The sequence below is a fragment of the Homo sapiens genome, chromosome 11, assembly GCF_000001405.40.
Source record: "Homo sapiens chromosome 11, GRCh38.p14 Primary Assembly".
In the NCBI taxonomy this organism is placed as follows: Eukaryota; Metazoa; Chordata; class Mammalia; order Primates; family Hominidae; genus Homo; species Homo sapiens.
Genome location: NC_000011.10, coordinates 120,698,000 through 120,723,246, shown reverse-complemented (window position 1 = coordinate 120,723,246; position 25,247 = coordinate 120,698,000). Strand labels below are relative to the sequence as shown.

The 25,247-nt window shown below is 46.8% G+C and overlaps 1 protein-coding gene across 22 annotated transcripts in view, besides 2 other annotated features; it reads right to left on the bottom strand.

The window, feature by feature from the left end:
• GRIK4 (glutamate ionotropic receptor kainate type subunit 4) overlaps positions 1-25,247 on the bottom strand; it is a 477,159-nt gene that overhangs the window by 265,660 nt on the left and 186,252 nt on the right. The window lies entirely within an intron of this gene.
• Positions 11,758-12,499: an enhancer, noted in NCBI's record as "H3K4me1 hESC enhancer chr11:120581457-120582198 (GRCh37/hg19 assembly coordinates)". NCBI's record gives its function as "activates a minimal SCP1, AML or CMV promoter by ChIP-STARR-seq in primed H9 embryonic stem cells {active_cell/tissue: H9 hESC(primed)}" and the evidence as "EXISTENCE:reporter gene assay evidence [ECO:0000049][PMID:30033119]".
• Positions 13,445-13,534: an enhancer, noted in NCBI's record as "active region_5640". NCBI's record gives its function as "activates an Ori minimal core promoter by ATAC-STARR-seq in GM12878 lymphoblastoid cells {active_cell/tissue: GM12878}" and the evidence as "EXISTENCE:reporter gene assay evidence [ECO:0000049][PMID:35858748]".

Sequence of the window (25,247 nt, the reverse complement as noted above, 5' to 3'; positions counted from 1 at the left end):
CGTAACATGTAAGAACTGAGAGAATATTGTTCCCAAGAGCCCTCCTTTAGGAATCTGCTAAAGAATGAATTTCAGACAACAAAATAACTAGAGAGACATTGACATAAAACCAATGATGAGCATTAAACAAGATTGAGAGTTAATAGGGATATATTATGATCTGACAATATATTTACAGTATTAAAAATGGGGAGAATAGAGATAGTATATGCAAAACATTTTAAACTTCACATATGCTTCTGCTACGAAGCACCATTTACGGATGAGGAATGGCTGGTGTCAGGATAAAGCCCTGTTAGTTACCACCCCTTTTAAACTTCATTAAGGAAAACATAATTACCAAGTGAATCTCATTTGGGTTCACTCCATGCTCCAAAGGCCCCAGCACAGACTGCCCTTCACCACTTCTTTATAGAAAGAACAGTAACTGGGCTTGCAAAAGATTCCCTGAAACCTGAGGACACTTGGTATACATGCAAATGAAGGAAGAGCAACGTGTAGCCAGGGGGCCTGCTGGTGTTGCCTAGAGAAAGAAATTCCAGTCCCTTTCAGAAGAGCCCAAGTCGGGAGTCAGCCTTCCAGACTGCATCAAGATGTCTCTTTGGAAAAGCCCCAAAATCTTTTTTTTTTTTTTGATGGAGTCTCGCTTTGTCACGCAGGCTGGAGGCTGGAGTACAATGGCACGATCTCAGCTCACTGCAACCTCCGCTTCCTGGGTTCAAGTGATTCTCCTGCCTCAGCCTCCCAAGTAGCTGGGATTACAGGCATGCTCCACCACGTCCAGCTAAATTTGTATTTTTAGTAGAGACGGGGTTTTACCATGTTGGTCAGAACTCCTGACCTCAAGTGATCCACCTGCCTCGGCCTCCCAAAGTGCTGGGATTACAGGCATGAGCCACTGCGCCCGGCCCCAAAATCTTTCTGATCCTCAATTAATCCTACTGCCAAAACACCATTACCTCCATCATGGCGGAAGTAGTAGAATCAAATTGGAAGTTTTTGAAAGAAGAATGCCATATATAAACACAAGAAATTTTTAATTTTAATTAAAGTTGCTATTGCTGAATGAGGGATCCACACCCTTTGTGTGCTGGCTTGCTCAGCACCCACTACAGAAGCCGCAGAGCACACAGCTGAGACTACCAGCCTGGGAGCTTGCCTGCTACACTGGACCCCAGGCCCAGACACTGACTAGCTGTGTAAACTACCTCAAGTTACTTAACCTCTCTGAGCTTAAGATTCCTCCTCAGTAAAGTAGTACTTAAGTCCAAAAGACACCATGAGAAGTGAGTTAAAACATGTAAAACATGCCTCACATATAGTGTCCAATAAATGTTATCAATGATGATTCCCTTAACTGCTGGTATTAACCGTGTCTTTCATTTTCTGTATTTTGATGCTTCGACATCTTGGGGTCTTGCTGACCCGGGAGAGACTGCCCCTCCCAGGGTTAGCCAGTTCCTAGAGATAGGTACACAAGGGCATTTTCTGAGAACAAACCAACCAATCCAGAGCCTATAGCCCAACTATTTCCTTTATTGAATCTCCCACTCTGGACCACCAGCCACCTGCCCTAATCACCCCGGGCCAGGTACCACACAACTAGGATGGCACCTATACCCCAGAGCTGCTGGAATTATTCAAACAAGCCCACCCTAAATCTGCTTGCCTTGCTTCACCTGGTTCTTCCCACAGAAACCACAGTAAAGGTTCTTGCTTGCTCCTGAGTGATCCCAGGACCTCCCATGTGGCTCCCCGTGGCGTGGCATGGTCCCTCCTCTTGGGAACTGTGAGGAACAAACTATCTCTTCAAGGGCAATTGTCTCCTGACCTGCTGGCCTTACTGCACCTTGATTTTTCTATTAATGCACAATACTTTAAAACATTGCCTTTGCCATGGTTCTAATTCTCTTGAAACTGCACTCTCAAAGGTCATCAATCATGTCTGCTTGCCAACCAGATGCCTCATCCACATTTGTTTTCCCTCTATGGTCTAAGGATTTGATTTTGTTGACTAGCTGACAGCTTAGAGATCACCTGCTCCAAAATGCTGTCTTGAACCACTCCCCGTAGCTCCCAACCAGGGACCCCAACTGCTCCCACAGATGTTGTAATTGCCCATTTTTGTATCCATAAACCCTTCATTAGACAGTTACCTCCAGAAAAGCATGTCTTTCCCTCCAGTGTGTAGCACCCTGACTGGTGCTGCTCAGTTACTCTTAGGTGAATGAATGATGAATGAATGAATGAATGAATGAATGAATGAATACGTGAATGAACAAACTCATCCAGCTTTGGAACCTAGAATCATCTTTAACTTCTTGTCCCTCTCTCTTCTGTCTTTGCATTCATCTCTCTCCCTTTTCCCTCCATCCTCACCCTCCATTCCTCTAACCTTTCCATCACACACTGAGACAGAGCAATGATTTCTCAATTCATTTTAAAAATTCCAGTATCTTCCCCCTCCAAGCCATGTTGCACCCTTAACTTCTTAAAATATAGCTAAACTCTTAAATCTACCTCCCTCCCTATTCCTCCCTAACCCCCACCCTTGCAGAATAAATATCAAATCACAATTGCCTATCCTGGTGCCAGCACCTTCTTCCCCTCCCAAATTTCTCTGATCTCCAACTACCCATGGCTGTGCACCAGGAGCTCCCATCTGAAAGCTTAGTTCCTTTCAGTCCTGAGCTAATCTTAACCAAAGCAGGACACATCAACACCATCAGTTCCTACCTCCCACGTGGTCCAGGCCTGGCATCTGGAGGCCCAGGTACCATCCCAAATAGCTCCTTATCCCCACCCCAAAGGTGCTGGACTGCAAGGGAGTCAGCCTTGAGACCCAGAATGCAATGGGAAAATCTATATTACTTTGCTCACAGCCAAACGCACATCAAAGGATGTCTGCAGAAAACAGTCTACAATAAACCAGAATCAAACACAAAATGCAGTGCTTATCGATTTCATGACCAATCCCACCTCAGCAGACCTTAATACGCTGTGACTGTGACCAGCAGAAGTTGTTCTAATGGTCATGCCAATGAGCTCTCAGTTCGAAATCTCACCCTCTCCCCTCCTTTCTCTTTCTTTACCACCTCCCCCCACAACACACACAACCTGCTCCACATTCTAGGTATAAGGCAGGGCAGTGCTCCCCAATCCCAGGTGTAGTTTGCTTTAAGTAAAAGTTATTTCCTGAAACAGCTTGAATTTTTACAAATGAAATGTTTCCCCAAATCTTTTTTTTTTTTTTAATCTACCTTATCTCTTTCTTGAATTGATCTTTAGGGAACAAAGGTTCCTAACATTTAAGCCGTTAGCTCTCAGCCTCTTTTCTCGGCTTCTCTGTCAAATGGATAACAGCAGCAGCTAATGTGGAGAGAAAAATGCTCTGCGGTAGAAGTGCCTTAGCAAATACCTATACATAAAAAGAAGGATCCTTCTGGAATAAGGCTAGTCATTGTTGCTTAGCTTTCTATTTTATAAATTCTGGTTTTGAATATTGGGCAGGAGAGAAGCTTATGTAACTATTTCATTTCAGATTAAATACCTCTTTACAGTGGGAGAAAGAGTATGTATGAATGACTCTGGACTCCTGAGACCTGAAGGAAAGGGGGAAGGGTCAGGGGAAGGGAGTGACGATCTGTGGGAGCAGCTCACTAGGCCTCTAGGAGACTGACTCACAGGCTGTATCTCAGATCATCTTCAAAACAACTGGGAAGCTGGTATCATCAACAGTCTGACTTTACCAGAAGAGGAGCACTCAGAATCCAAGGGAAGGTAGCTGGCCCAAGGTCACACAGGCAGTGAGTATCAGAGCCGATTTGAATCTAGATCCGTCTCACTCTAAAACCTTCATATTCTACCAGGTTATCTCTGGAAGGAAGCCACCTGGTTAACCCCTCACACACACTGCCTTCAGTTCCCTGCCTCTACCCAGAGCAGATTATAGGAAATACCACTTTATGTGTGGCTGTAGAAGTTGCTACAGCCTATTATTTTTAAAAGCTTATTTTTAATGAAGGACTCACCCAAGCATGCATAAAATGCTATGAAATTATTGATGGTGTCTCTGCAGAAGAATGTGAGATCTCTGATTTGTTGGATTTCTTTAAAATCTTGTTTATTTAAAATTCAAAATATTCATTATACACTTTAAAAAAAACTCAATTATGCAACTTACCAAAATAAAGAGTAAATGTGTATCTAAAAAAAACCCGCAAAACCTGTTGTTTTACTTCTTTAAGCCTGATTCTATACCTTATTCTAGAAAGGGGAGGGCCACCTTCTTTCTTAGCAAACCATTCCTATGGTTAATAACTCTTGTTCTTAAAAACAGGGCTTAGCCAGTCCTGAAACCATTCTGATTGTAGTCAGCAAGGGACTGAACGGGCAAGTACGACGGGAAAGGGTTAAAGGTCCAAGCATCCCTGAGGTATGAACCCAGGCTAAGTCAAGGCAGGACCAAGGTTGGTACTGGCAGGTCCTGGGCACAGGCAACAGCGGCCAGGCTGGCCCTCCCAGGCGGCAGACCCACAGCCCTGGACATCCACCTGCCCACCTAAGGTGACTTGGATATGAAAGTGCCTTGCTCAGCTTCAGCGTACAGACAATGCTCAATACATGTTGGATTCTCCCTCCTTCCTTCCATCTCAAGGACAGGATTGGTCCCATGCCGGGGCAAGGCTGTACTTGCGGCTGGAGGTTAAGTGTCCCTGGCTTAGAACGCTAGAGAGGAGAGTGGCAGGGAACCACATTATTATCCAGCGACACCAATCTCTTGTCTAACCCAGCCTAAATCCACTTGCGGCTGCCTAAGCCTATCTCTTCTTGCTCTGTCCTCAGGGAAAATGGAAACTGGCAAGTATCCTCTCCTGAATATGGATGCCTCCATGACTCAGAGACGCTGGTCACATCACTCCTCAGGCTACCGGGAGTTGGAGCTTTTTCTGCTGTTTCCAGAAAGCCTGGGTAAAGACGGGGAGAGGAGGGAGTGGCTGGGAGGTCCCTGATGGACTTACAGACTTGAGGGGACATATTAGGAACTCCAGGGCTGAGTCCTGTCTTTGCTCTTGGTGAGGAGAGGGAGGAACACCCTGGAAGAGAGGGAAGATGGCAGGAGGGAGAAGTCAGGCTTCTCAGCACCCAAAGCAACAAGCAAATGGACTTATGATCCTTTCCTGGAATCAGGTGTTGTGTCTAGACAGACACTTAAGGGGAAAACCATGGCACTGACTTAATTCTTTTCGGAATCTTTTCAAGCCCTCTTGCCACAGACAGCCGCCTCAGCTTACAGACGCGGGCAGGGAGGTACAGGCTGGCCATTTCCTACCCCAGCCTTGCTGGGAGGTCTCCCCATCCCCCAGCTGCTCAGCCTCCAGGAGGCCTAAGCCCGTGGAGCCTCAGCTCCAGGGAGAGCACATTCCTGCCCACAAAGCCCAGAGCTGGAAGGGCACCCCAGGCTGGGCGGCTGGGCTTCCCTGATCAGAATCCCACACACCCCCAGCAGGCTTTCCCCACCCAAGCCCTCTCTTTCTTCATCCCATGTAGTCTCCTCTCCTCACCTTGGTGATGCAGGAAGCAGGAGGATTCTTATTTCCCCTCTTGTAAGTAAGGAAATGAGGACCAAAGAGGTCAACTGATACAGCCAACATCACAAATCAAGTTCTCCCATCGCTTTTTTTTTTTTAAACTTTTAGGACTCAGATTTCCTGGCCCTGCGGTGTCTTTCTATGCAGGCTGGGACATGTGTGTTGGCAGGATGGCAAAGGAGATAGTGGGCCCATCCTTCTCCAATCCCTAAGCACTGCCAGATCCTGGGCATGCTCATCCGCCTGTGAGCAGGTTCAAGGGACAGGAGAAGTAGGGAAGAAGCCCCAGGGGGCAGTAACATCTCACCTCGTGATACTGTAAACATTGCCAAAGGATGCCCCACAGCAGCTGCCCTTCTGAAAGCCTGTTCCTGCAGCGTTGCCCACCACCCAGGTGTGTGCAGTTGCTTCCTCTGTCCCAGCCATTAGCTACCTTGCAATGGCTGTGACCCCAGCCTGAGGCTCACACTAAGGTGACCAAAGGCAACCAGTTCCGCGATGAGCACAGGGCACCTGGCCTCCATTTACAGGCATTCCGTCGGCAGGAAAAATCTCCTGGCTGGACCCCAAACTGCCTGTCAGAGCGACGAGGAGCCACCGCCGCAGCATCCTTTCCCCTCTTGGGTATGAAGACATCCCCACAGCAAATATTTAAAGGATTTGGATCCTAGTCCCTAAGCACGCCCTCTCTAACCATCTGAGCTAAATTCTCAGTCCATGGCTGTGCAAATAGATTTTATTACCAGGGCCCTGAGCTGATAAATGGAGTTCAGGGACAATCATGCTGCAGAACCACCCTCTCCTGTGGATCCATCCTTAGCACTCTGATGAGCAGAGCGGTGGCAGCTGGAAAAGGCTGTCTCTCCTGGAAACTTCAGGGAGAGAAGAATTCCTTCTTCTCTCACTGCTGGAAGGATTCCTGTGCAGAGGGAATGTCAGGTCAGGGGTGCTGGGGGCCTGGGATTCCTCCTCATCTATTTATACTCAGTTTCTGCTTCCCCAGCCAGGCTGCCAACACTTAGAAGGCAGAGACTGCATCTTAGTTCTCTTTGCACCTTTTGTACCATAGCTCTGAGCCTGCACATAGCAGTCACTCAATTCACATAGAGCGTAGCCAGACGTAGTGGCTCACACCTCTAATCACAGCACTTTGTGAGGCCAAGGTGGGTGGATCACTTGAGGTCAGGAGTTTGAGACCAGCCTGGCCAATATGGTGAAACCTCATCTCTACTAAAAATACAAAAATTAGCTGGGCACAGTGGCAGGCGCCTGTAATCCCAGCTACTTGGGAGGCTGAGGGGGGAGGATTGCTTGAACCCAGGAGGTGAAAGTTGCAGGGAGCTGAGATCAGGCCACTGCACTTCAACCTGGGCAACAGAGTGAGACTCCATCCCGCCCACCCACCCCCCAAAAAAATCATGTCAGGTAGTGAATGAGCTTTATAACTACAGAAATCCAGGTCTGGACTTCTGCAAATCAAGCTCTGGTTCCTTCTTCTCAGCTCTGATAGAGTCACTCCCAGTTCAGAAGCCTTAGCCAGCTCACCATTGCCTACAGAACAGTGGAGGCTCCGTACCCTCCCTGCATTTAGGAGTGCTGACATCAGGCTCCAGCCTGCCTGTTAGCCGCCTTCCCCCACTGCCCACATGCCCAGTTCCTGAACTACACAGAAGCCCACTCTCTGCTCAGGATGAGCCTTTGCTTGGGTGACTTCCCCCACCTGGAATCCACTGTGCTTTCCACCAAGAAGGGGCTCAGGAAGAATATGTTTAATTCATTTAAATTAAATTAAGGCTGGAACCCAGAGGAGGCTGCGTCCTATTTTCTGCTTCAGTCTCCCCAGTTCTATCTCAAAAGTGGGAACATTTGCCGCCAGTACAGCAGCCCCACAAAAGGGAGCGGGTGTGGCGCCCACGTGGCCTGGTGTGAAATGAAGCTGCAAACACGGGACGTTTTCTTCCCAGAGGTTTGGGGCCACAGGAATTTGAGAATCCCCAAGCCTTTTGCAAATGTCGTTCTCCATACCTGACTGGGAAGGTGTTGGTGGGGAAAACGAATGTCTAGAAAAGGAAACATGGAGGGGAAAGAGGAGAGAGAGGGAGCGTTGGAATCAGACAAACAGGAAAGAAAAGGAAAGGAACATGGAGGGGTGGAACACACTTTAGGCCAGGGGTCCTTCATCTGCATTCACAGAACAACCTCTAGGGGGGTTCATGAGCTTCCAATTGCTTTTGTTTCGTTTTACTTTGTTTTTTTGTTTTTATGAGACACGACCCACCGCTTTCCGACAACGGATGCTCAAACAGGTCTGTGATTCCAAAAGGGCTTCCTTTTCCTGAATTAATTGCAGGGTCGACTTTCTTGCCTGCCCTCGTAGGTTGGGGCTCCTCGGGACTGTGCCCCAGGGCCCCTTCTCCCTCCCTTGATCACACATATCCTTGGCTTCAATTATTGCTCCACAGATAAGCCGAATCCCAGCACCTGGCCCAGGATAAGCATTAGTGCCCCCGTGCCAGCAGAGATACAGTGAATTCCTATTTCCAGCCTATACCTGTCTTTTGAGCTCCAGTCCCACGGATGAAGGTAGTTACCTACAGGGTGGACACCTCCAGTGCAAAGCCCAGAGGCAATTCAGAATCAGCAGGACCCACACCAAACACCTGCTTCCTCCCATGCATTTGCCACTCTGCAGCTAAAGGAGTCTCTCCAAAATAGAAATCTGATCATGTCCCTCCTTGCCTGTAACTCTCCAGTAGCTTTCCCTTATACTAGGCTAAAGCCGAACCCTCCTTAACAAGACTCCTAAGAGCCTTTATGATCTGACCGCTTCCTACCTCTCCAGGCTCATCTGTTCCCACCTCCCCCTCTCCCTACATTTCAAAAAGAATCATATTCTCTCTTGACTCAGGCCCTGAAAAAGCACTGTTCCATGTCCCCTTCATCTAGAGTAACATCTACCTTTTATTTAAACTCCAGTCTCAGCTTGAGTCATTTCCTCTAGGAAGCCATCCTTAACTCCCAGACCAGGTCACAGGGCCTTGCTATGGGACGCTGTAGTACTTCATACTTCCTCTATTAGGACACATTTGATACTTTTCAGTAAGTGCTTAATCTTCTGTGTCCTCTCCCTAACCTCCACGAGATTTAAGTTCCAAGAAGCAAAAAACCACTTCTCCCCATGTACCACTAGATTCATAGCACATGGCTCAGTGCCTGGCACACAGTAGGTGTTCAATAAATAACTGCTGAAAGAAAAAATAAATAGCGCGAGTGGATTAAGAAAGGGAAGGCAGGAAGGAAAAGGTTAGTCCTTTCCTTCTGAAAGCCCCTCATCTTTACTCTGGCTTGCAATAATCACACGCACTAGCACTTTCCTTTCTCCAAAACCCCAGAGCTGTGGATTGTAAGTCACAATGAGCCTCCAGACTGGGTGAATTCCCGACATTATTAAAGTCACCGCTATTGAAAGGCTGGGAGAGCATAGCATACACTTTTGCATCCACATGGTGTCTCAACACAGCTAAGTCCTCAGTCATAACAACAGCAACTATGGATAGCACCTTTAGACTTTAGTTTACAATGTGCTGTCATAGACATTATCTCTTAAATAATGATGGAAGAGGAATGAGTGATGAGCCAGGATGAAATCCTGTGAATAATGCTGGAGAAGCAGGTGCTCTATGGTAGGAAGAGCAGAGCACAAGACCTGATTCCAGCCCCAATTCTATTCATGACTCTCAATGGGACTTTGAGTCCGCAGCAAATCCACTCTCGACTCAATTTCCCCCTCTGTAAAATGGAGAATTGAGCCTTCCTTTCCCTATCTTCCAAAGCTGCTGTGAAGAGATAAAGCTAGCAAAGCAGTCACCTAAGTGAACAGAACTATGAATATTCATGTTGTACATCTCTTAGGGCAACCTTAGCAACTGCGACTCATCAAGTCCCTCGTAGCCACCTCTCTACCTCACCGAGTTTCCCAGTTCCAGCCCCACTTGTCTTTCCTCCTCCCTTAAAAAATCCTCTGTAGCCAGAGAAGATAAAAGAGACACAGCTACATCTATTACCTCCTACAAGCTACGGTCATAAATCCCATTGCAATTAAACCTCGCCTGGTAAAGAGCTCTAAGCACAAAACATGCTGGTGCTTTCTGCATTTGCCAATTACAACATGACAATGACTGAAGAGCCCAATGTCAGTGACGCAAGGGTGGCCCCCCTCTGTCTTCCTCCTGCTCTCTTTATGGAGTTTACCTGCCTGGGTTCGGGGGGCTTTTCAGGTGCCAGGAATGACAACCCACAGAGCATGCTGATAAAATCTGCAGAGGGCACAAAACTGGGAGGGGGTGTGCTTAGCATGTCAGGTGGCCGAATCCAAACAACCAATGAACAGCAGAATAGAACGCTGAGAGAAACCAATCCAGTGAAATCTTGGATTCAAGAAATACAGCAGACCTATAAACAGGGGGACACTTGACTTGGACAAGTTTATTAAAAGAGGAAAACATGAGCTTTGTTTTTTCATTTGTTTTTAGAACCACACGCTTGACATGAGCCAGCTGTGGCAAACTGCTGCTTATAAAAAAGTGCAACCTTGGGCTGTGTAAATAATAGCAGAGTGTCTCAAAGTTGGGCACTGCCTCTCTCATCCCCACTCCAGCCAGGCTCACGCAGGAAACTGTGACCAGTTATTGTCATTCCTTTCAAAAGGACAATAACAGACCAGCAAAAGAAGGGATCCAGGCTAGTGACACGGGTAAAAATCAAATCACATAAGAAGGGACTGAGGGGGCAGGAAAGACTCCTTCTAAGGAAGAGAAGATCGGAAGTAATGTGGTTGCTAACTTCAAGTGTATAAAGGGCCATCGTGAAGAATCTGGAGTCTTCCTTCTCTAGGCCCAGGAGGGCCAACCGGGGCCAGCAGAAGGGAGTGATAAGGCTGAGATTTGGACTCAACATTAGGAAAAACTGACGACCAGGCAGTGAGCTCCCTGTCCCTGGCAGAATTTAAGTAGAAGTTTTTTTTTTTTTTTTTAAGAGACAGGGTCTTACTATGTTGGCCAGGCTGTTCTTGAACTCCTGGGCTCAAGTGATCCTCCAATGCTGGCCTCCCAATGTGTTGGGATTCCAGACATGTGCCACCGTGCGTGGTCAGAGGATAAATTTAGAAGAAAAGCACAGAAGGGTGGGTGACCTCTGTTGACACTGCCTCTGGAAGGCAAAAAATGACTAAGTTTGAGGGAGATTTGCCTAAAGGAGCTGAAAATGGTTACAGACTGCCTTGGCTAAGGTCCTTCCTAGGCCAGCAGGCCTGGTTTCTTTTCCTCTCTTAAATCCTACCTGTCCGGTCTCATTTTCTGTCACGTTTCCCCCTCTCTTCCCAACCCTCGCCCCAGCACACCGCATGGCTGGACATCAGGACCTGGCTTCTCCATCACCTCTGAGAAGCCTTCCACTACCCCCAAGGGCAGGCTGGGTGCCCCTGCACCCCAGGTTCCCTTAGCACCCTGTATGTGTGCTAGTGGAGTATTCACCTTACTTTACAGTCACTATTTATTGACATGTCCATTTAATTTCCCTGCTGGGTGTAAGCTGCGTGAAGCAGCGACCTTGTGTGCTTTGTGTATTATTGCATCCACAGCACCTCACAAAGAGCATGGCACAGTGCAGTGTATAATAATCATTTCCTGAGTGCATGGATATATGAATGAATTGGATTCTTAATGAAGCTACTCAGACCACGGAATGGGTAGGATTCAGTTGCTAGGACTTCCAAGCTTTTCATCCCGTACAGAACCCACCTCCTGTCTCCTCTGGGCTACACGTCAGCTTTAAAGCCTTTCTGTCCTGGCCTGAGGGCACTGGGGAGAAATTTCCAGCCCTCTCCAGCCACAAAAGGCCTTCTGCAGGTTCAGGGTACATTAGCTTCCCTCTTTCTATTGGATCATCCTGCAATGGACATTTTGGGAAGTTCTTTTCTGGAAAACATTAAGGATCAATCTGTTTGGTATAGTTTTGCCAGGTGGCTACAGATTCAAAAGAGATTGGTTAGGATCTTGGAGGCCCCTTTCTGCCTTGGGAGTCTCTGCTCTTAGATTCTGAAAGAGCCTGTCCTCCTGAACTTGGGCTATCCTGAGAGACACCCCTTGAAGAGAAGCATGACCCATGCCAGGGTGTGCCTCAGCACTGATCCCCAGACCAGGGGGATGGGTCCCGCCAGGATGAATTTGCTTCTCTCTGCACACCTTGGGCTGTGGCAGAGGCAGGTGATGGGCACCAGGAGGTCTCTGACTTGGGGCAGCAGATGAAGCGAGGAACATCTCGTCCCACCTTGGTGAGCCCACTGAGAAAGTTAAGACCCAAGGTTTAATGCCTTTGCTCTGCTCTTGAAATGCTCATTCTACTCTCACCCACTGTTGCCCTTAAAAGGAACATTTATAACTCGCTTTCATTTACCCTCTGCCTCCACTGCTGCCATTAGTATTTGATGTCTCTCGAGGAAGGCACGCTTTCCTGACATAACAAGCTGTGGTGCAGGATTCATCAGAGACACTGACTTGGAGCTCACTGTCTCCTACAGCTCAGCATGGCCCACCCTGCATGGCCCACCCTGAGATGGAATGGGAGAGCAGGGCCCTGCAGCTGCTCACACCCCCTCCCCACCTCACAGGGGCAAGCGAGGCTGGCCGGGCCGCCTGGTGCTCCAGTTCTGCACTGCCTTCTGGGAATGACAGTTTTGTAGTCAGCTGAAGACTCCCAGTTAATTTATTTACCCACTTCCTTACTTTCTGGGCCTCTGGCAAAGAGGCCTCCAGGCACACAAACAGATTTTAAAATAATACAAATCATTAACATTTAAAATGGTGATGCAGCAACAGCTTACTCTGCTTTCCTGAGGTAGCAAAGCAGCTCAGAGAGGAGCAGGGCGATGTGCAAGGCTCAAGGTCAAGCCCCAGGCCCTCTGGGCACAGAATCTGGAGGAGGTCTGCTTTCTTCCCTGGAGAAAGGGATCGCCTTTGACCCCTGCACAGAAAAACCGCAGGGCGCATTCCAATCTGTGAAGAAAGACTCTCTATTGTGAGTCACGTGCCCAGAAGAAAGAGCCCGCACCACTGCTGCCTCACACAGCTGGAATGGGGGGGCCGTTATGCCCACAGAGCAGGCCAGACTCAGAGCCTATATGCACTTGGTTACAGAGGGGCCAGAGTGAGTCAGTGCCGTCGATCAGAAGAGCCACCCCTGGGGTCCACCAGGAGGTCCGAACTGTATCTTGACTTCTGCCATGCAGGAGCCATGTGGTCTCAGTCAGACCTCCTAACCTCCCGGTGACTCGGCCCAGCTCATCTCAGCTTTCTCATCTGGCAAATTATAGAATTGTTCTATTGTAAAAATGGAACAGGTCCCAGAAAATATCCAGTTCAATCTCCTTACTGTACAGATAAGTCTGTCCTACCTATTTCTCCGAGTTACTAGAAAGATTAATTGGAATACAGGGAACCTTCTGTATTTGTGGATCCAGGACTTAAGATCTGACGTGGTGTCAGTCATTTCGTTTTGTTTCTGCCTTGTCTCGCGCTGACTACTGTTCAACTGGGACCTACAAGCCACTCTGAAACCAAGGTACAGCATTCTGGTTATGAATCACGATGCTTTGTATGTGCGTGGCTGCTTCTTGGTTTCCAAAGCACCCTCGCCTGCGTTAGCTACTTGATCCCAATGATGCAGACAGTGATGTATTAATGTGGCAGGTGGGAAAATACAGACAGAACAGTACACTCTGAGTCTCACAGGTGGCTGAGAGCATCCCGGCCATTTTATTCCTTGTCCAGGACTCTGTCTTCTACACTACTCTGATTTTTTAGTTCAGAAAAACTGGGACTCTCTTTGGTATAATCAGAAAACCTAAAAGAGCCTCAAAAAGGAAGAGGCTTTGGGAACTGGGTGAACAGCTGTCCAAAGCATACACAGTGTATGCAACAAACACTTATAGAATAGTCTATTTGCAGGGACAGTCAGAGGTGTCATATAAAAGTAAACTAGGGTTATTATTAAAATCCCACATTGCAAAACCAGATGGCACCAATTCTCCAGTACTCCTATCAAACTGACCTTTTATTTTCTATAAGCTAGTCAGCATTTGCAGAGAATCCCTCAGGAAGTAACTCCAAAACTGCAGTAGAAGATAAGGAGAAGGGCTGGGGAACTGAACCCCTATTTTCAGATGACAGAACTTAGTCCAGGGACTTCTGAAAGCAATCATCCCCTCCCTGTCAGGTACCATGTCTTATTTATCCTCATGTCTCCGACATGTAACACAACACACGGCATAGAGCAGGTGCTCAACGGAGGTGAGCGGAACTGCCATGAGATTGGGGGTAGAAACTAGATCTAGAATGAGCATTCTAGATGAGGGTAGGGACAAGAAGTGGGTCTCAAACTTTAGAATTCCTGTGACTCACTGGGTTGCCTGATTCAGACATTTGAGATTTAGTAGGTCTGAAGTCTACATTTTTAATAGAGTCTCCAGGTAAGATTTTAAATAGGTGATCCTTGGCCCTCCCTTTGAAAAATATGCCTTGGAAAGGACTCCGGACTCCTGACCTGGCAGGTTCTCCTGAGGGCTATTTATACATCTCACATCCATACAGTTTGTCCCCAAGCTCTTGGGTTTTATAAATGTCTCCAGGCCAGACCAGGTAAAGGTTACTGCCCTGCCTTTGCTTATGCTCTGGCCCATCGAAAGCAGCCAGCCGGCTTGCTGGAGTCCTGCAAGCAAAAACCAACCTCCAACAGCACGGGAGGGGGTAAGAGGTGGGAGACAGAAGAGAAGTGTCTCTGTGCAGCAGTCCTGGCCTCCCAGCAGCAGGGCCCTGCGCAAAGCAAAGACTTCAGCTGGTGCAGCCTGAGAGCAGAGTATCAGGAAGACAGCAGGTCTCGGCAACTGCGTTCTGGCCCAGCCCGACTGAGGGTAATTAACCTTTAGGCGGGCAGCTTCATTTCTGGAACCAGCAGCTGCCTCTGTCCTCTGGAGCCCGTTCACGTTCCCTTAGAGAGCACCAGGCTGGGGGCATCTCCCTGGATGTGGCTCTGTTCCAAGGCCCAGAGATGCAAAAGGAAAAATACCCATACTGACCAGCCTGCCAGCTGCCAGGGCTAGCACCTCCGAGCCCCACACTCAGCCCCGTCTCTGCCTGGCTGTTAAGTAGGAGGCTATTTCTGGTCTCTCTCTGATGAGGATTATTCATTAGGGACCTCTGTGGAGCTGAGCTAGAGGTGGGAGGGGATGTATTTTTCTCACAAATGGTCTCTCACAGACATCAAGGAAGCAGATCAAAAGCTTTGCTGCCCCCACCACCACACCCAGGGTAGAAACACATCAGGCGCTACAGTTAGGATCTTTCCACGTGCCCATGGCAAGATTCACTTCTTCAGCATCTTATCCTTGTCCCATTGCCATTCTACAAGTCCCTCAGGGTTCTAAGTATGTGGTAATGTCAAAATATGGCCATTCCTTCTCCATGGCTCATATGGAGATGGTATTATGTTTTCCTAAAATGACCACCCACCACACTATCTCCCATCCCAGGTATTCTTATGATGTGTCTCTGGCATTCCTCCCATTAAGAGGTGGCATCTATGATCCCCCTTCTTGAACCTAGGTGGGCTTGTGACTATGGTGCAAGTAATGCTATATGACTTCCGTTAGGTCAGCCAAAAAAGGCAAAACAGCTTCTGCATGGTTCTTGTGGGTTGCTCAGTCTTAGAACTCAGCTACCATGTTGTGAGGAAGCTCAAGTAGCGTGCAGAGGGGCCCACATGCAGCAGTCCATGTGGAGAGGAACAAAGACCCCTGACCCTCAGTTCTGACAGCACCTCCAGCCTGTAGCCAGCACCAACTTGCCAGCCATGTAACTGTGCCATCTTGGGTCCTCCAGCTCCCTGTCTAGCTGCCCATTCAGCTGATGCTACATGGAGCACAGATTAGCCTTTTGAATCTTCCCTACTGAGCCTTGCCCAAAGTAAAGATTTGTAAGCTAAATCAATGATTGTTGCTGTGTTAAATTATATTTTCAGATGATTTGTTATAGAGTAATAGACAACTGGAAACAGTTTGGTTAGGCCCTGGGAGTCCAGCCTCTTGATTACTCCCTTTACCCTTGCCAGTCATCAAAAGGCAACTCTGAGGTTACAGAGCCACATGGATTTATAGATCCATGTGTAGACACACAAATGTGCAGGATCTGCTGGGGGACAGAGTTCAGAATTGATTTTACCCGCACTGGCAGGTGCTTCCTCAGACCTTCCCCTCAATGGTTCACCCTCAGCAGACTGGCTGTGCCTGGCAGACTGGCGGCCACAAGTGTGAGTCTCAGCCAGTGAAGTGATACACTGATACATCGATGGCTCCAGCTCCCACAGTGTGTGGTCCTGACTCATGTACTTAGCCTCCCTTCCATGGCTTCCCAGGGTTCTTGTCTCATTACTTTCTCTGTCTTCTTGCCTCCAGGCCTCTGTAAATGGCCATCACACTGCCGTATCCTCCTGAGCAGCCCTGTCCTGGCAGCTCATTCAAGCCTGGTCGTTCAATGTTGATGAAAACAAAAAGGCTCTGTGTGGTTGTCCCAGGAGCTCTGAGGTGCTGCAGAATCTTGGCCCAAGTCAGAGAGGATTGGTAGCTATTCGCTCTTTTCATGGTGCCTGACATGGTATCAGGTCACAGCACCATGGCACCACTGTCAGCACTGTCAGTCCGTTCATATGGTGATCCTAACAAATAAAGACAGTACTTGCAGGAGACACAGCCACCAAGCAGTGTGCATCTGCAGACTAGGGACCTGAAATTAGGAGGCCTGCTGGGACAGCAGCTACAGAGGGGGTGAGAACCAGTTGCCATCCCTACTCACAGCTTGGTCTTGGTCATACGCTCCCTTCTCTCAACCTCACATATTGCTTTGATACTGCATGCAGCAGACTACCTATATGTCTTAGGTGATAAAGATCCCCATAGGTCGAACGTTTTCTAGGCCAGAAATCAACCCAGTCCTTTAAGGGGTCCCCTGTGCCCCTAAAATGTCAGAGCATACCACCCACCAACAGCCCCTCACCTGGAAGTCCAGCCATCCATCCCATTCTCTACATGACTCACCCCTGGGCTCCATGCAAGGACTCCAGGCCTGCAGGAGGGGAGAGACACAGGGCAGACACATGCTCCCCCATGCCACATCCACACGTGCACACTCACACTCACAGAGCCCAGGCATGCCAACGCAGTCGGAATGGAAGAGGTGGCCACACAGCACTCAGGCTGGATCAGCCAGGAGTCCAGAAGAAACTGGGTCTAAACAAAGACAAGACAAGAAATCTGTTCTACATAGGGCAGCTATGGGTGGAGTTGGTGATAAAAATGTGTTAGAAAGAATTACAGGCAGAGATCAGGGTCAGTCCTAGAACCCACAGCCCCTTCCTAGGAGAGCCATGGACTTCAGGACAGACCATCAAACTCCTGCAAATAGGCAGGAAGAGGTTCCTGTGTCTCTCCTGAGCTGACATCCAATGGACTTGGTCATGGTGGCTGTCCAGGGTCCCTGGAACTCTAGAAAGCTCAAGAGCAGGCCCGATGCTGGAAAGCAGTCTTCTAGTGTTTAGGGTGATATGCCGGAGTGGAATGTCCTGGAAGCCTCACCAGAGCTAAAGGAGAATGTCAGACAGGAGCCTGAGATGCTGGGGCCTCCAGAAAATCCCAGAGAATCCACGAACACTACTAGAGCTAATAAACAAATTCTGCAAATTTGCGGGATATGAGATCAATGTGCCAAAATCAGTTGAGTTTCTAGATACCAGCAACGGACAATCTGAAAAAGAAATTAAGAAATATTTCCATTTACGATAGCGTTAAAAAGAACAAAATACCTAGGAATAAATTTAACTAAGGAGGTAAAAGACTTGTACACTAAGAACTACAAAATATTGCTGAAAGAAATTAAAGACGACTCAATTAAATGAAAAGACATTTCGTTTTCATGGATTGGAAGACTTAATATTGTTTTGATGGCGATACTCCCCAAAGCGATCTACAGATTCCATGCAATCCTTATCAAAATTCTAGTGGCTTTTTATAGAAATGGAAAAGCTGGGCGAGGTGCAGTGGCTCACACCTGTAATCCCAACAATTTGGGAGTCCAAGGTGGGCAAATCACCTGAGGTCAGGAGTTCGAGACCAGCCTGGCCAACATGGTGAAACCTTGTCTCTACTAAAAATACAAAAATTAGCTGGGCAAGGTGGCAGGCACCTGTAATCCCAGCTACCTGGGAGGCTGAGGCAGAAAAACTGCCTGAACCCAGGAGGCAGTAGTGAGCCGAGATTGTGCCACTGCACTCCAGCCTGCAAGACAACAGTGAAACTCCATCTCAAAAAAAAAAAAAAAAGAAAAGAAAGAAATGGAAAAGCTGATTCTCAAACTCATATACAATTGCAAGGGACTCTATGAACAGCCAAAACAACATTGAAAAAGACAAACAAAACTGGAGGATTCACAGTACCTGATTTCAAAACTAACTACAAAGCTACAGTAATCAAAACAGTGTGTTATTGGCATAGGATAGTCATACAGTCAATGGAATAGAATTGAGAGTCCAGAAAAAACTGAAACATCTATGGCCAATTAATCTTTGGCAAGAGTGCTAAGACTATTCACTAGGGAAAGAACAGTCTATTCAACAAATGGTTCTGGGACAACTGGAAAACCACATGCCACCTGTTTTTGTAAAGTACATTTTTTGGAACATAGACCTGCTCATTTGTTTATATGTTGTTTGTGACTCCATTTGAGCTAGAATGGCAGAGGTTAATAATCTCAACAGAGATACTATAGTATACAAGTCTAAAGTACCTACTCTTTGGTCCTTTACAAAAAAAAAAAAAAGTTTGCAGAGTTATGTTGTACAATATTGCTTCCCATGCCCCACCTGTGTTCATTCCTTCATCTGACATTTACCGACCACATACCATGCCCCAGCCCTGTTCTAGACACAACAGCAAGCAAAAATGTCTATCCTCACAGAGCTTACATTCTAGTAGAGGAATTATCTATGACAGCCCTGCAATCTAAAGAATTTAAATGGCCACTTGAGAAACAGAAGGAATGAGACTGTAAATTACGTGCAGGCTTCGAAGCTGAGATAGAGGCTGTGACTGCTCTAAGCTTGGGCACTCCCAAATGTTCCCTGTTGGCCCTGGGTCATGTCTCATTCAGCTGCATCTCCTGAGCTGCGACCAGAGGTATCCAGCAAGCAATAAATCCAATAGCTCTTCCTAAGAACCTAATATGCTCAGGGCACTGTGTGAGTGCTATGGAGGACAACAGTGAGTAAAATACAATCCCCATTTGCCATAAGACCACAGTCTAGTGAAGAATAAACCGCATATATATCATCATAAGAAAAGTAAAGAAACATTAACACTTAATAAATAAGCACCTACTATGTGCCAGGCACTGTGCAAAAACTTCTATGGTTATTATCTCATTTGACCCTCACGAGAACACAAGAAATACACTGCTTTTGATAGATGAACAAATTGACAGATGAGCAAATTGGGTTTCAAAGAGTTTCGTTTTTCGCCTTTGGCAACAAAGCTAGTGAACGGAAACTCAGAAATCTAAACTAAAACTATGTGGTTCTAAGTTTAGCCATTCAGTTATTAAACAGACATCTGTTGAGGTCCCACAATTTTGTAAGCATCATTCTTGGCTTTAGTGCTACCAAAGATGATCAAGACGAGTGCTCTTTATACCACCCCATCCTGTACCTACCATGTATAGGAAACAGGACATAATTCACCTGCCTCCAGGAGTTTATAAAGAGATTCAGAAAGCAGCACACAGACACAACCGAAATAGTAATGGTAATAATAGGTACAATCTAAGTGTCCAAAAACAAGTTTAAGTAACAGTATTTCAAAGGAATTTAAATGATTTGCTGCTCAGGAGATACGGCTGAGTGGACAGGGGAAGTTTCATGAAGGAAATTGACAGACGGTAGGATTTATAAGTGGTACATATACTAGATATACCCTCCTGTCCTCACCCTTACTCCTGGGTCCTCACCCTTACTCCTGTAAGCCCAACCTTACAGCCTGGGTTGGGCTGACAGTGGAAGAAACAGGCTTCAGGAGACTTTAGAGAGCTTGTAAACTGGCTAATAAACCCTAGAACTTTAGACCACGCCTAGGTCACATACATTATCTCCTTCTCCAAATCCACCCTCCAAGACTCATCACCTCAAGCCAATCCAGCCCCCTTTAGAACATTATGCTACCTTCTTGGGAAGCAGAGGGTAGGTTGAAAGACCCCAGGCCTTGGATCAGAACACCCAGGTTTAAATCTAGTGTAAATATGACCACTTAGAATTGTTCTGTCCATTAAGGTAGCCACTTGCCACAGATGGCTCTTTATATTTAAATTTAGATGAATTTAAGTCAAATGCAATTTAAAAACTAGCCAAAAAGTCACATTTCAAGTGCTCAGTAGCCACAGGTAGCCCACAGATTCAATGCTGGACAAAGCAGATACAGAACATTGCCATCATCGAGAAAGTTCTATTGACCAACACTGATTTCAAAGCCTCTGAACTAAAGGCAGCTATGTTGCTTTTTTGCACCTCATTTTCTTCATCTTAAATTGGGCAAAGCACTACAAATACTCCCCTAAAAGGACTTATGGAAATAAAACAAGACAGTGAACTTAAAAGTGTGCTGGTAACTTCCTTTTTTCTTTTCGATACAAATACATCTTCCTTCCTGCTTTCTGCAGGGCTGAAGCCTCAAGCTCTACTCAGATAGAAACGTCCTCAGGCCATGACCCATGGGATATTGTTTTAATGTGGAGCATTAAAAACAAAGTGAAACAAAAATCTCCAGAGCAGTGAGCCCACCTGTCAGTCCTCGTCTCCCTGGGCCTCTCAAGAGGTTTGTGACACTGATCACTTCTTCCCTTGGCTTCCAGGAGACCATGCTGACCCAGCTTTCCTCCTGCCCCTTGGTTGCTGCTTCTCATCCTCCTCTATGGGCTCCTCTGCATCCCTCTGACCTCTTCAGTTCAAAGCACCCCCGAGCTCTGTCCTTGTCCTCTTCTCTGTCTGTACAAACCCAGTCTCGTGGCTTTAAGTACAATCTGTATATTGATTACTCCCAAATTTACGTTTCCAGTAGAATTCTGTCACTTGAACTCTAGACTCACATTCTAGCTGCCACCCTGCATCTCCACAGGTTGTCTAACAGGCATCTCACATTTGGCATACCAAGATTCGGCTCAGACACCTCTTACCCCTAAACCAGCCCAACCTCCTTCCCTACTGCAGCAAATGCCAACTCTACCCTCGTAAGTACCAAGGTAAAAACCTTGGAGTCGCCAGGCGCAGTGGCTCACGCCTGTAATCCCAGCACTTTGGGAGGCCGAGGCCTGCGGATCACAAGGTGAAGAGATCGAGGCCATCCTGGCCAACATGGTGAAACCCCATCTCTACTAAAAATACAAAAATTAGCCAGGCGTGGTGGCGTGCACCTGTAGTCCCAGCTACTCGGGTGGCTGAGGCAAGACAATTGCTTGAACCTGGGAGGCAGAGATTGCAGTGAGCCGGTATCGCACCACTGCACTCCAGCCTGGCAACAGAGTGAAGCTCCATCTCAAAAAAAAAAAAAAAAAAAAAAAGCTTGGAATCACCCTTGATCTGTCTCTCTTACACATACACATCTCATATCCAGACCATCAAGAAATTCTGTTGGCTTTACCTTCAAAATCTATCCAGAATTCCAACCTTTCTTACCACCTTTACTGCTGCATCCTGGACAAGCCAGCAACCTCTCTCACCTGGATTACTGCAAGAGCCTCCTAAATGGATCTCCCTTCAGCCTATTCTCAATGCAGCAACTGGAGTGATCCCTTTAAAATCTAAGTCAGAAAACAATATGGAGGTTCCTAAAGAAATTAAAAATAGAACTACCATATGACGCAGCAATCCCTCTTCTGGGTATATACACACAGGAGATGGAATCACCTTGTAAATATATCCACACTCCTATGTTCACTCCAGCATTATTCACATTAGCCAAGATATAGAAACAACCTAAGTGTCTATCAACGGATGAGTGGATAAAGAGGATGTGGTATGTGTACACAATGGCATACTACTCACCCTTAAAAAGGAGATCCTGCCATTTGCCACAACCTGAATGAACCTAGAGGAAATTATGCCAAGTGAAATAAGCTAGACACAGAAAGAGAAATATTGCATGATCTCACTTAAATGTGGAATATTAGAAAAGGAGCTCAAACTCACAGAGAAGGAAGCAATGGTTATTATGAGTGGGCATGGTAGAGGGGTAGGAATTGGAGAGATACAGGTCAAAGGACACAAAATAGCAGAGATATAGGAAGAACAAGTTTAGAGATCTAGTGTACAAAATGAAGATTAAAGTTAATAAAACCGTATTGTACAGTTCTGTATTGCTTAACAATGGGATACGGTCTGAGAAATGCTTTGTTTGGTGATTTAGTCATTGTGTGAACATCACAGAGTGACTTACACAAACCTAGATGGTATAGCCTCCTACACCTAGGCTACATGAAACAGCGTATTGCTCCTAGGCTACAAGCCTACACAGCATGTAACTGTACTGAATACTGGAGGCAACTGTAATACAGTGGTAAGTATCTGTGTATATAAACACACCAAAATATAGAAAAGGTACAGTAAAAATGCAGTAATATGGCCGGCTGCGATGGCTCACATCTGTAATCCCAAGCACTTTGGGAGGCTGAGGCGGACGGATCCCCTGAGGTCAGAAGTTCGACACCAGCCTGGCCAACATGGTGAAACCCTGTCTCTACTAAAAATACAAAAATTGGCCAGGCGCAGTGGCTCACGCCTGTAATCCTAACACTTTAGGAGGCCAAAGTGGGCGGATCACGAGGTCGGGAGTTTGAGACCAGTCTAGCTAACATGGTGAAACCCCGTCTCTACTAAAAATACAAAAATTAGCCAGACATGGTGGCGCGCACCTGTAATCCCAGCTACTCAGGAGGCTGAGGCAGGAGAATTGCTTGAACTCAGGAGGTGAAGGTTGCAGTGAGCCGAGATCACGCCACTGCACCCCAGCCTGGGCAACAGAGCAAGACTCTCTCTCAAAAAATAGTAATAATAAAAAATAAAAATACAAAAATTAGCCAGGTGTGGTGGCACATGCCTGTAATCCCAGCTACTCAGGAGGCTGAGGCAGGAGAATCGCTTGAACCCAGGAGGCAAAGGTGGAGGTTGCAATGAGCCAAGATCATGCCACTCCACTCCAGCCTGGGCGACAGGGCGAGACTCCATCTCAAAAAAAAAAAAAAAAAAAAAGTAGTAATATAATCTTATAGGAACTTTGTCATATATGTGGCCATTTGTGGATGGAAACATCATGATGTGGCACGTAACTATAGTAGGAGTTTTTGTTAAATAAGTAGATTTTAGCAGCTCCTGTCACACACAAAAAAACCAACTATGAGATCATGGGCATGTTAACCTGCTTCACTGTAGTAACCATCTTACTATCTCTACGCATCTCCTAACATGCTGTAAACCCCAAATATACACAATAAAGTTTATTTCTGTAAAAAATTTGAAGTCCAATCATGGCCTTACTTTGCTCAAACGTTCTACCTGGTTCCCATTTTACCCTAAAGAACCCCTGTGGTTTGACCTTCACACCTACATCTCTGACTATCTCCTGCTGCTGCGGCCCTTGCTGATACAAACTGGCCACATGGACCCCCTGGGCATGCCCCGAGCTGGCCAGGCCCATTCCTGCCTCTGGGTCCCTGCACGTTTGCACATGCTGTTCCCTCTCTCCAATATCTTCTTCCCCAAACATGTGTGCAGCTCTTCTCTCATTTCCTTGAAGTCTTTACTTACATGTCACTTTCTCAGAGAGGTTTTCCATGCCCACCCTGTCTACAATGTTAACACCCTTGGACATTCCCTATCACCTTTCCTGCTTTATTTTTCTCTTTAATACTTATCAGTCACAGACTATATGGGTACACACACACACACACACACACACACACACACACACACACACATACACACACCTGACTTACTGTTTATATTCCTCATGAAGCAGGGATTCCTATTCATTTCAATTCACCAATTTATGCTCAGTGCCTAGAACAGTACCTGGTCCGTAGCAGGAAATAAATATTTATTTGTAGAATGAACTAAAGACTGCAGGCCATGGAACTAAAGACTTGGTTTGTCATGGGGCTGTGCAGGTTACAGTCATGGCTGTGACCACCAGCCCTCCATGCTCAAGAGCAGGACCCCTGGAGGAGCTAGTTTGATCTTTCCTTAAAGCAGACAATTTGATCCAGGCTTTGGAGGAGTAGTGCTGGGACCGCGAGCCACCAAGAGAGATCAAGGCAGGTAGGTGGGCAGTGTGCTGGCCTCGCCTTGCCACCTGGGCCAGAGGCTCACACGCAGCTGTGATGAACTGAAGCAGCTGGCCCTATCACCATCCAGTGGCAACGGGAAATATGACACGAGAGATGCAGTGTGTAGGGGAGCTGCCACAGGGGCAAACAGACACAGGTGGGAGATCATCCCTGAATCCAGATAGAATTTATCCCCATTTTAACAATTATGGCAGGGAGAGTGATGAAACATTTATGAAGGACACTTACCTGGAGCTAGGCCTCACAGGGGACCAACGAAATCCAAAAGCCCACTTCTCCTGATTAATCTAATGCACCAAAAATAGAGAAAAATGTTTGCACTTAGAGTGGGGGTAACTGGGCTCCTAAGATCTGTGTTATGCCTCCCTGCTGGGTGGTGGAGCCAAACAAACCCCAGGAAAGTCAGAGACTTGGGAGTGCAAAGAGGATGGGGGCAGAACTCCAGGGCAGGGAGGCAGCAGGAACTGCACTGCAAACTGGCAGCACAGGAAGCCACAGAGCCAGGGGGAAGGGGCAGCAGGCCGTGATGGCATGATGGAGGCAAAATCGCTTTCAAAGATGAAGGACAGAACAAAGGTGAGGCATAAGGGTATTGTGAACATTACTAAGAGATGGTAGTGGGAGGGGAAAAGTGTGCCCTGTGTAAAGAACTTAAAGATACTGCATCTCATTAATGCCTCTCATCCACTCAAGGGGCAGCCATAGTTCTGTGCAATTTACCTATGAGGAGCCCAGGGCTCAGAGAGGGTAACTCACCTGCTCAAGGTTACACAGCCAGCAGTGGCTGAAGACAGACCCAAACTTCTCTTAATGCAAAGCCATTAGTTCTTAACAGGGACCCTGTGGAGCTTTCTGGAAACTCGGGATATTTCACCCTGTTATGTGTAGTGATGCCCAAGGATTTAAACATTGAAATTAATTTTATTATGTTATTTTCTTTTTATTCATCCTTTATATTATATTTAGGACATTAAATATTTTAAAAATCATGTATGTAGAAACGTTATACTCTCTTTAGGTTTCATCTTGACAGAGTAAAGTAGGTTTTTTCAAAACACTTGTAAAATGGACAGGGTTGAGTGGAGAAACGCCACACCACACAAAGCCAGGGGGGACACCTCTTGGCACACTGCCCCCCTGCCTTGATGTCACCTTAGCTCTGGCCAAACCA